Raw genomic sequence first — 12,644 nt, forward strand, 5'->3', positions numbered from 1 at the left:
ATCCACAATTGAATGACTATCCACACAAAAAAGCACCTTTATAAGAACCAATAATCAGATGAACAATCGTAGTACTTGGTTTTAAGTTCATATCACTGAAAGAGGCACTGAAGAGGGTAGGAAAGCATTTTGAATTGCCAGTGCCACCCCTTCCTCATCCCCTACAGCAGCTATATGGTGCAGAGAGAGAATCTGTGTGCTTGGAAGAGGAAAAGTGTAGTGATTTTGGGACTTTGCACTGGAACTCAGTGCTCCCTGTCACAGCAGAAAGCAATACCAGGCAGAACTCAGACAGAGCCCGTGGAGGGAGCATTTAGACCAGCCATAGCCAGAGCAGAATTGCCCACCCTAATAGAACCATTGTCAGAACTTAAGTTCCAGCAAGCCTTGCCACCGTGGGCTAAAATGTTCCAGAGCCCTAACTAAACTTGAAAGGCAGTCTAGGCCACAAGGACTGCAATTTCTTGGCAAGTCCTGCTGCTGTGCTGAGCTTGGAACCAGTGGACTTGGGGGCAAGTAACCTAGTGAGACACCAACCAAGGCAGCCAAGGGAATGTTTGCACACCCCTCTTCCATCCCCGGGCAGCACAGCTCGCAGCTACAAAAAAGACTCCTTCCCTCTGCTTGAGAAGAGGAGAGGGAAAAGTAAAATAGAGTTTGTCTTGCAACTTGGATACCAGATCAGCCACGTAGGATATTGCACCAGGCAGAGTCTTGAGGCTCCCATTCCAGGCCCTAGCTCCTGGATGATGTTTCTAGACACACCCTGAGCTAGAAGGGAACCCACTTCCTGGAAGGGAAGGACCCAGTCCTGGCAGAATTCATCACCTGCTGACCCAAGAGTGCTTGGGCCCTGAATAACCAGCAGCAATACCCAGGCAGTACTTGCCATGGGCCTTGGGTGAGACTCAGAGACATGCTCGCTTTAGGTATAACCCAGCACATTCCCACCTGTGGTGGCTATGGGGAGAGCCTTCTTCTGCTTGAGAAAAGGAGAGGGAAGAGTAAAGGGGACTTGGTCTTGCAGCTTAGGTACCAGCTTGGCCACAGTGGGGTAGAGCACCAAGCAGGCTCTTGGGCCCTGATTTCAGGTCTTGGCTCTTGGACAGCATTTCTGGACCTGCCCTGTGCCACAGGGGAGCCCATTGCCCTGAAGGGAGAGACCCAGGCCTGGCAATATTCACCACAAGTTGACTGGAGAGCCCTTGGGTCTTGAGTGAATATCAGAGGTAGCCAGGCAGTACTTACCATGGGTCTAGGGTAGTGATGGTCATGGGGAGAGACTTCGCTTGTGGAAAGGGGAGGGAAGAGTGGGGAAGACTTTGTCTTGTGGCCAGGGTGCCAGCTCAACTGCAGCAAAATAGAGCACCAGGTAGCTTCCTAAGGTTTCTGACTTCAGGCTCTCAGATGACATCTCTGGGCCCACCTGGGGTCAGGGGGAACTGGCTGCCCTGAAGGAAAGGTTGCAAGCCTGGCTGGCTTTGCCACCTGCGATTGTAGAGCCCTAAGGCCTTGAGTGAACATAGGTGGTAGCCAGGTAGTGATTACCACAGGCTTTGGGCGAGACCCAGTACCATGCTAACTTCAGGTTTGAACTAGCACACTCCCAGTGGCTCTCCCAGCTATAGGCACCTCAGCACACAGAGCAATATTCCATTTGTTTGACAGAAAGTAAAGGAAGGGAACAAGAGTCCCTGCCTTGTAATCTAAAGAGTTCTTCCTGGTCTTATCCAAGACCATCAAGGCGGTACCTCTAGGAGTCTGTAAGAGCCATAGCATTACTCAGCTTGGGGTGCCCCCTAATACAAATATGGATCCCATGACCAAAAACTTAGATCACAACACCCAAGTCCCTTCAAATATTTGAGAAGCCTTACTAAAAAGAACAGGTACAAACAAGCCCAGACTGCAGAGACTACAAAAAATACTTAACTCTTCAATGCTCAGACACCAACAAACATCCACAGGCATCAAGACCATCCAGGAAAATGTGACTTCACCAAACAAACTAAGGCACCAGGGACCATTCCTGGAGAGAGAGAGAGATGTGACCTTTTAGACAGAGAATTCAAAATAGCTGTTTGAGGAAACTCAATGAAATTCAAGATAATACAGAGAAGGAATTCAGAATCCTATCAGATAAATTTAACAAAGAGACTGAAAGAATAAAAAAGAATCAAGAAGAAATTCTGGAGTTGAAAATGCAATTGACATACTGAAGAATGCATCAGAGTCTTTTACCAGCAGAATTGATCAAGCGGAGGAAACAATTAGTGAGCTTGAAGATAGGCTATTTGAAAACAGAGGAGACAAAAGAAAAAAGAATAAAAAAGAAAGAAACACACCCACAGTTCTAGAAAATATCCTCCAAAGGGCAAATCTAAGAGTTTTTAGTCTTAAAGAGGAGACAGATAGGGGTAGAAAGTTTATTGAAAGAGATAATAACAGAGAACATCCCAAATCTAGAGAAAGATATCAATATTCAAATACAAGAAGGTTATAGAATGCCAAGCAGATTTAACCCAAAGAAGACTGCCTCAAGGCATTTAATAATCAAACTCCCAAAGGTCAAGGATAAAGAAAGGATCCTAAAAGCAGCAATGGAAAAGAAAGAAATAACATGCAATGGAGTTCCAATAGGTCTGGCAGGAGACTTTTCAATGGAAACCTTACAGGGCAAGAGAGAATGCGTGACATATTTAAAGAGGTGAAGGAGAAAAAAAGTTTATTCTATAATAGTATATCCAGCAAAAATATCCTTCAGACATGAAGGATAAAAAGACTTTCCTAGTTAGACAAAAGTTGAGGGATTTCATCAACACCAGACCTGTAATATAAGAAATGCTAAAAGGAGTTCTTCAATCTGAAAGAAAAGAATGTTGATAAGCAATAAGAAATCATCCGAAGGTACAAAACTCACTGGTAATAGTAAGTACACAGAAAAACACAGACTATTATCACACTGTGATTGTGGTGTGTAAACTATTCATAATACCTTGAGTAGAAAGACTGAAACATGAACTGATCAAAAATAGTAACTACATCAACTTTTCAAGACATAGACAGTAAAATGAGAAAAAAAATTTGATTAAAAAAGGGCAAATGATCTTAACAGATATTTCTCAAAAGAAGACATCCAAATAGTCAATAAATATATTTTCAAATGCTCAACATTACTTATCACAAGCTATCTGCAAGGAAAAATCCCAATGAACTATCATTTCATCCCAGTTAAGATAGTTATTATAAAAAAGACAAAAATAGCAAAGGCTGATGAGGATGCAGAGAAAAGGGAACTCTTATATACTGTTCATTAGAATATAAACTAGTACAACCACTATGGAGAACAGAATGGAGGTTCCTCAAAAAACTACAAGTAGAACTACCACATGATCCAGCAATCCCACTACTGGGCATTTATCCAAAAGAAAAGAAATCAGTATATCAGAGTGACATCTGCATCCCTATGTTTATCGTAGTACTATTCACAATAGCCAAGATATGGAATCAACCAAGGTGTGCAGCAATAGATAAATGGATAAAGAAAATGTGGTGGCCAGGCATGGTGGCTCATGCCTATAATCCGAGAACTTTGGGAGGCCAAGGTGGGAGGGTCACTTGAGGTCAGGAGTTCGAGACCAGCCTGGCCAAAATGTTGAAACCCTGTCTCTGCTAAAAATACAAAAATTAGCCAGGTGTGGTGGCGGGCACTTGTAATCCCAGCTACTCGGGAGGCTGAGGCAGGAGAATTGCTTAAACCCAGGAGGTGGAGGTTACAGTGAACTGAGATTGTGCCGTTGCACTCAGCCTGGGAGACAGAGACTCTGACTCAAAAAAAAAAAAAAAAGGAAATTTGGCATAGATACAGAATGGAATATTATTCAACCACAAAAGTAATGAAATTCTGTCATTCACAACAACATGGATGGAAATGGAGGACATTATGTTAAGTGAAATAAACCAGGCACAGAAAGACAAAAATTGTATGTTCTCACTCATATACGGAAGTTAAAGTAAAGTTGATCTCATAGAAGTAAAAAGTAGAATTAAGGATACTAGAGACTGGGAAGTTTAAGGGGAAAGGAGGATAAGGACAGATTTGTTAAAGGATACAAAATAACAGCTACATAGGAGGAATAAATTCTAGTGTTCTGTACCACTGTAGGAGAATTATAGTTTGAAATAGCTAGAAGGTGGATACTGAATGTTCACAACACAAATAAGTGATAAATTTGTGAGATGATGGTAACTACCCTGATCTGGTCACTATATATGTATGAAATATCACTATGTACGCTGTGAATATGTACAATTATTTGTCAACTTAAAAGAAAAATGTGGTGGCCAGGTGTGGTGGTTCACATCTGTAATACCCGCACTTTGGGAGGCCAAGGTGGGCAGATCACCCGAGGTCATGAGTTTGAGACCAGCCTGGCCAACATGGTGAAACCCCATGTCTACTAAAAATACAAAAAATTAGCCAGGTGTGATGGGACGTGCCTGTAGTCCAGCTACTCCAGAGGCTGAGGCAGGAGAATCGCTTGAACCTGGAAGGCGGAGGTTGCAGGGAGCCAAGATCATACCACCACACTACAGTCTGGGTGACAGAGCAAGATTCCATCTCAAAAAAAAAAAAAAAAGAGAGAGAGAAAAAGAAAAAAATGTGATATATATATACACAAAGGAATATTATTATATTATTAAGTCATAGAAAAGAATGAAATTCTGTCATTTGCAGGAACATGATGAAACTGGGGGTCATTGTTACATGAAATAAGTCCAACACAAAAATACAAATACCTCATGTTCTCACTTATATGTGGGAGCCTAAAAAATGGATCTCTCCTAACATAGAGAAATAATGAATGTTTGAGGGGATGTTTATTCCAATTATCCTGGTTTTATCATTATACATTGTGTGCTTGTACCAAAATATCACATGTACTCCATAAATATGTACAACAATTATGTATCCATCAAATTATAAATAAAAAGGGGGATCTCGTGAAGATAGTAGATTGGTGGTTACCAAAGGCCAGAAAGAATGTGGGGAGGGAGTTGATTAATGGATACAAACATACAGTTAGATAGGAAAAATAAAACCTGGTATTTGATAGATCAGCAGGGTGACTGTAGTTAATATTAATCTATTATGCATTTCAAAATAACTAGAAGAGAACAATCTGAATGTTACTAGCATATAGAAAAGATATAGCCGGCCGGGCGCGGTGGCTCACGCCTGTAATCCCAGTACTTTGGGAGGCCGAGGCGGGCGGATCACGAGGTCAGGAGTTTGAGACCATCCTGGCTAATACGGTGAAACCCTGTCTCTACTAAATATACAAAAAATTAGCCAGGCGAGGTGGTGGGCACCTGTAGTCCCAGCTACTCCGGAGGCTGAGGCAGGAGAATGGCGTGAACGTGGGAGGCGGAGCTTGCAGTGAGCCGAGATCGCGCCACTGCACTCCAGCCTAGGCGACAGAGCGAGACTCCGTCTCAAAAAAAAAAAAAAAAAAAAAAGATATAGCCAGGTGCAGTGGCTCACATCTGTAATCCCAACATTTTGGGAAGCAGAGGCAGGAGGATCACTTAAACCCAAGAGTTCGAGACCAGCTTGGGCAACATAGTGAAACCCTGTCTCTACAAAAAAAAAAAAAAAAAAAAATTTTAATTAGCTGGGTGTGGTGGTGCACACCTGCAGTCCCAGCTACTCAGGAGGCTGAGGTGGGAGGATCACGTGAGCCTAGGAGGTCAAGGCTGCAGTGAGCTATGATCGCACCACTGCACTCCAGCCTGGGTGACAGAGCAAGACTCTGCCTCAAAAAAAATAAAATAAAATAAAAAATAAGATATATATTTAAGGTGATCGATATTCCAATTACCCTGATTTGATTCTATTATATCAAATTATCACATGTACCCTGTAAATACACATCTATTGTGAATCAGTAAAAATATAAAGTAAATATGAAAGGATGTATATCAGCTACATTGTTATCCTTGATAGAAAGAAAAAAAATAATTTCTCATAGCATCTTATTTAGGGACTATTTGGGAATAATGAACATTATTTAGGGATGTGGCAAAAGCCATCCTCAATAAAAATCTTATAGCAAATATAGTAATGTTTCTAGTCAGTTTATGCAAAAGCTGATCCAACTAATTTAAGAAGAAATTTAAGAAGGAAGGTTGAAATATCACCTTGCTTTATATAACATTGAAATTTTCTGCAATCACTGTAACTATAAGGTTTATAGCACTTTTAAATGTGGGAAGAAACGCTTTGATAGCATAAGGTGTGAGAGGTCATCTGAAATTAAGGATAGTGGTAGATGGAATTGAAAGCTTGAGCAAAAAGCAGAGGTTTAGAATAACCGCAGTACATTTATAGATCATCGAGAATAAAATGTCAAATAAGCTGACTGAAGATGAAACCCTACTCCAAAGAGTTAAAGAAACTAACAACAGATATTCTTGAGTTTGCAGGATGACACATAAGAAACAACTTGCTGAAAAGCTGAAACTTCCTTTGCTATTAATAGTAAGAAAACAAAACTGACTAAAATCAGTTGAAACCAATATGGCCAATTAGAGTTTGTGCAGAATGAATTTGCTGACATTACAGCCTGAATTTCCACCATATGTTTTTTATTAACTCCCCCTGAATTTGCACATGGGACCCATGAGAAAGCATGAAGAGATAAGTACACATGCCTGAGGACTTTCCAGACCTCCCTTTCCTTCCACCAATCACCTACTAATTTCAGAATGCACCCCCTGAACTTTTCTAATAAAAATACTGCCTTGAAGCCAGCATAGGGTGGCAGATTTGAGTTGGACTCCTGTCTCTTTGTTGGTTGACTTGCAATAAAAAGCTTCTTGGCTGGGTGTGGTGGCTCATGCTTCTAATCCTAGCAGTTTTGGAGTCTGAGGTGGGAGGATCACTTGTGCTCAGGAGTTTGAGACCAAGCTGGACAGTGTAGTGAAATCCCATCTCTACGAAAAAAAAATTTAATTTAAATTAGCTGGGTATGATGGCAAATGCCTGAAGTCCCAGCTACTTGGAAGAGTGAGGCGGGAGGATCGTTTGAGCCTGGGAGATTGAGGTGGAAGTGATCCATGATCAAGCCGCTGCACTCCGGGCTGGGCAACAGAGCAAGACCTTATCTAGAAAAAAAAAAAAAAAAAAAAAGCGTTTCTTTTTTCTTTTCTCAAAAACCCAATGTCATAGTATTTGCTGCAATCACATTGGGCAGTGAGCCTCTTTTGCTTGATAACAAAGATATATATAATTCATTGGATTTAATTTACTTTAAAAATAAGCAAGCTGGGCATGGTGGTTCACATCTGTAATCCCAGCGTTTGGGAGGCCAAGGTGGGCAGATCACCCAAGGTAAGGAGTTCGAGACCAGTCTGGCCAACATGGTGAAATCCCATCTCTACTAAAAATACAAAAATTAGCTGGGTATGGTGGTGGGTGCCTGTAATCCCAGCTACTTGGGAGGCTGAGGCAGGAGAATCAGTGGAACCCGGGAGGCAGAGGTTGCAGTGAGCCAAGATCATGCCACTGCACTCCAGCCTGGGCGACAAGAGCAAGACTTCACTCAAAAAAAAAAAAAAAAAGGCAAAGCAGAATTAACAAAAAAATGTTCCATAGCCTACCTGACTACTCACATAAGCGATTAGATTACAGAATGTACATTTACAGTTCATCGAGAATAAAAAGTCAAATTTGTGATGAAATATATAGTATAGTAATGGATCTATAATTTCAGAACGCTAAAAGGTTGCCCTTTTATGAAAAAAATGGTAGATTATACCCTATAAGTAGTGCTTTAGTGGCATGCTGTAAATCCTGATATACTGTGCTTTCATTTTATTTGTTGAAAATATCTTTTTATTTTCCTTTGAGACTTCCTCTTTAATGATTATTTAGAAATGTGTTATTTAGAAGTTATGGTAGTTTTCAATGATTTCTCTGTATTAGATAATGTATCATGTGTACTTGGAAAGGATATGCATTTTGCTCTCGTTGGGTTGAATGTTCTATAAATGTCAATTAGATCCAGTTGATTGATGGTAGTAACATCAATACGTGGCTTCCAAGGTTTCCCTAGGGATCATCTCCACCCCCGTCAGCCCAAAGGGAGAAAGATCATGAAGAAAATTGCCTGGAATGTTTTTATGACATCACTTCCACTCAAATTCTATTGGTTAGAACTCAGTCATATGGCTTCACCTAAAGGTATGAGAAGCTGGGTCATGTAGTCTAGCTTTTTGCCTGGGAAGAAGAGGAAAATATATTTAGACGAACAACCAGAAATCTATTTCTATTCTCTGGAAGAGCTTGTATAAGATAAGAAATACTTGAATCATGGGTATACAGTAGAAATTGTAAAGTTATTGGGGCTATTTTCTTTGGGGGAAATTTTGTAACTACTGATTCAATTTAACGGATACTGTTCATATATGTTTTCTATTACTTCTTGAGTCACTTTTTGTAAGTTACTTTTTAGGTATATATTATTTTGTATAAGTTTTCAAATATATTAGCATAAATTCATTGAAAGTATTTATTTTAACCTCTGCTCTATCTGTGATTATGTTCTTTCTTCATTTTTAATATTATTTATTTATGCCTTCTATTTTTTTCATTTGGTTAATCTTACTAGAGATTTGTCCATTTTATTAGTCTTTACCAAGAATCATAAATTTTATTTCATTAATTTCTGTTCTTTATTATTTTCTTCCTCTACTTTCTTTGGGTTTATTTTGCTGGTCTTTTTCAACTTGTAATTTGTATGCTAAGCTCATTAGTTTTCAAACTTCTTTTCTAATATATGCATTTAGGGCCATATATTTTCCTTAAATTTGGCTCCAGCTGTGTTCCTATGAGTATTTATGCATAGTATTTTCATTATTATCTAGTCCTGTGTATTTTCTAGGTTTCACTGATTTCTTCTTTAATTAATGAGTTATTTACAATGTGATTTTAAATTTCCCCAAGCACAGGAGCTTTTCTTAGGGTATATTTTAAGTTATTAATGTAGAGATTAATTGCATTATTGTCAGAGAACATGGTATATATAATAATGATTTTATAAAACTTGTTGAGTCTTGGCCAGGTACAGTGGCTCTCACTTGAAATCTCAGCACTTTGAGAGGCCGAGGTGGGAGGATCCCTTGAGGCCAGGAGCTCAAGACGAACCTGGGCAACATAGAGAGATTCCATCTCTACAAAAAATTTAAAAATTAGACAGGGATGGTGGCACACATGTGTAGTCCTAGATACTTAGGAGGCTGAGGTGGGAGGATCAGCTGGGCCCAGGACTTTGAGACTACAATGAGCTATGATCATGCCACTGCACTCCAGCCTGGGCAACAGAGTGAGATCTTGTCTCGAAAAACACACACACACACACACACACACACACACACACACACAAAAACCACGAAACAAATAAAAACTTGTTGAGTCTTGCTTTATGGCCTGATATTATTATATGCATGTTAAATTTCAGATGTCTTTCCTTTTTTTTTTTTTTTTGAGACTGAGTTTCACTCAGTCACCCAGGCTGGAGTGCAGTGGCGCAATCTCGGCTCACTGCAACCTCTGCCTTCTGGGTTCAAGCAATTCTCCTGCCTCAGCTGCCCCGCTAACTGGGACCACAGGTGCCCACCATCACGACTGGTTAATCTTGTGTGTTTTTAGTAGAGACAGGGTTTCAACATGTTGGCCATGCTGGTCTTGAATTCCTGACCTCAGGTGATCTGCCTGCCTTGGCCTCCCAAACTGCTGGGATTACAGGCATGAGCCACTGCACCCAGCCATTATGTTATTAATTTCTTATAATATTATCTTATTTATTGCTTGCTGTAATTCTGTGAGATAGTATGATTCTCATTTTTCAAGTGAGAACATTAAGATCCATCCAATATAATAAGTAGCTTTTCAAAGTTCACAGATCCAGTTAGGCTTATATCAGATCAAAGCAGACACCAACTATAAATAATCAATATGGTCCACTTTACATACTGGCTGCATATCAGCCCTGCATATATTTCATTATAGATTTTTAAACCTCAGAGTAAGGATTATTCTTATTTTAAACAGATTTTTATCCCCCTTAAGTCCCCCATGCAATGTTTCACACGTATTTGCTGTTCAACAGATATTTGTTGATTGGACTAAACCACTTATATACAGCATAAACCTAAGAATGAAATCTGGCAAAACTCAAGAAGAGCAAAATAAACAGGTAGTTTGTGAATACTCAAAAATAAAAGCAGGACTTATAGTTCAGGAAACATTGCAAAAAATAATCTGAAAATACTCCTGGTACAAATACTTAGTACTTCTGATTTAATACATAGGTCTATAACATATAAATATATAACACATAAATATATAAATATGTGAATATAGACAGGCTGAGGAAGAAGGACCTACAAATGCAATTATAGACATAGAGTTGGGAGGAAAACCAAGTGAATTTAAGTTACAGACATTAAGGCAAGAGAGGGAGAAAAATCAGTAGTGACCTTTGGATTTTGTGTTAACGAAGTTATTAATCACTGTGGAAATAGAAGTTGTATGGAAGTAGAAATTTTTATTTTAAGAAGTTTGGCTATAAATGGTAAGAAAAGGGCCAATTGTAAGCTGGAGGGTGCTGTAGTGAGACAGAGAGTTTTATTTATTTTCATATGGAAAAGTCATAATCAGGTTTAAGACTTAATCCCTTTAACTACACTATTTCTTACAGTCTAAATCTTAAGATTTGGCTTAAGTGTCATTTCTAGAAAACTGTTTTTGCATTGGGCCAAACTGCCTCTGTTGTTATACCACTGTAAACAGGTTATTCTCATAGCACTCAGGACATTTTAAGGAACATATATGTTTAAATGACTTGCCCCCTTCTAGATTGTATGCTCCATAATCGTGTGTTACTTTTCTTTTTCTTCTCCATTTTTTTTTTTTGAGATGGAGTCTTGCTCTGTCACCCAGGCTGGAGGTGCAATCTCGGCTCACTGCAACCTCCGCCTCTTGGGTTCAAGCTATTCTCCTGTCTCAGCCTCCCAAGTAGCTGGGATTACAGATATGTGCCACGACGTCTGGCTAGTTTTTTGTTTTGTTTTGTTTTTAGTAGAGATGGGGTTTCACCATGTTGGCCAGGCTGGTCTCGAACTCCTCACCTCAGATGATCTGCCTGCCTCGGCCTCCCAAAGTGCTGGGATTATTGGTGTGAGCCAACGCTCCCCACCTGTTACTTATCTTTGAATCACCAATTCTTGACTAGTAATTGGCAATAGAAAATTATCAGGCAATGTTTAACTATGCAGCCTTAAAAAAAAAAAACTTTCTCCTATCTTTCTATAGATCTTCCTATGTCTTTATTTTGTATTATTCTTCCATTATAACACCCATAATACTTTTAAATTGAACTTAAAAAATATGTATGTCCTTCCTACTAAGCAGCATACTTCTTGAGGGAAAGAACCTTATATTATCCATGTTTTAATACTAGCATCTATCATTATCCATTGAATATTTAATCATTTATTGAGTAACCAGTCATTATTCTAAACTCTGAGAATACTATAGTGGTTCTAAGAAGACAGACAACAGACAATAAACCAATAAATAAAGAATATTATTAATGATTATTATTAAAGACAAAGAAATAGAGTGATACAAAGAGTGACTATTGAAAGTGGGGAGTTACTTTAGATAGGATACTTAAGAGTGGAGTCAAAAAAGTAAAAATACTATCTTTGTATATAATACGACTTTATGATATATATTGACTAAACCTTTAGAATAGGAGCAGAACTTAGTGATCACACAGTCAAGCCTTCTCATTTTACAAATTGATTTAGACAGAAAGTGACACTCATTGAAGGTATTAGCAAATATGTAATTTTTCCTTCCCGTGGTAAAATGTTTTGGAAACTTTCATGTTCTTTATATCTCATTGCAATTCCCCTGAGAGGTAAATGATTCATTTAAACCAGGGGCTGGAATGGTGTACTAATCACACCTATTTTCTGTCGTAATAGAGAATTTTTAAGGAGAGGAAAGGTAGGAGGGCAGAGATTCTCAGAGGTGAAAGCTAAGTGGGCTATAAACACAGTGATAAAAATATAGAAGGTGCTACAAGGAGACTTGTAATATCTAAATAGATGAGTCAGGAATTATATATGAAAATTTAAAAAAAATTTTTCTGATTTTTCTAAGATATTCATGGTAGAAAATTTGATATATAGAAAGGTCTAGAGTGAAAATTGTACCTATAAGCCCTTACCCCAGGAATAACCAAAGTTGATTGTTTTCTTTATACAAATAGTTTTTGCTATCTCTCTCCCTATCTCTCTTTTTTTTTTAAACAAAATTGAGATTATGTTATGTCTATATTTTTTAAATATTTGAGAAAAGGAAATCGGCCTTGGCAAAAAAGTGAGACTCTGTCTCTAAAAAAATTAAAAAGATTAGCCAGGAATGGTGGCATGTGCCTGTAGTCCTAGTTACTTGGGAGGCCAAGGAGGGAGGATGAGAGGATTGCTTGAGCCCCAGGAGCTCAAGGCTATAGTGAGCTATGATTGTGCCACTGCATTCCAGCCTGGGCAACAGAGTCAGGCCTTGCCTC

At 39.0% G+C, this 12,644-nt stretch overlaps 1 protein-coding gene across 5 annotated transcripts in view; it reads left to right on the plus strand.

Moving 5' to 3' along the window:
* The first annotated feature begins 8,223 nt into the window (after window positions 1-8,223).
* C1orf185 (chromosome 1 open reading frame 185) overlaps window positions 8,224-12,644 on the plus strand; it is a 50,055-nt gene continuing 45,634 nt past the window's right edge. For 4 of the 5 annotated variants that reach the window (XM_024446525.2, NM_001136508.2, NM_001410790.1 and 1 more), the window contains exon 1: window positions 8,224-8,245. In XM_024446525.2, the coding sequence (XP_024302293.2) occupies window positions 8,230-8,245 (16 nt within the window). In that variant the 5' untranslated portion in view covers window positions 8,224-8,229. Of the gene's footprint in view, window positions 8,379-12,644 lie in introns of all 5 variants that reach the window. The other variant, XM_011541282.3, reaches the window with a different exon arrangement.

This window comes from Homo sapiens, chromosome 1, assembly GCF_000001405.40.
Source record: "Homo sapiens chromosome 1, GRCh38.p14 Primary Assembly".
NCBI lineage: Eukaryota > Metazoa > Chordata > Mammalia > Primates > Hominidae > Homo > Homo sapiens.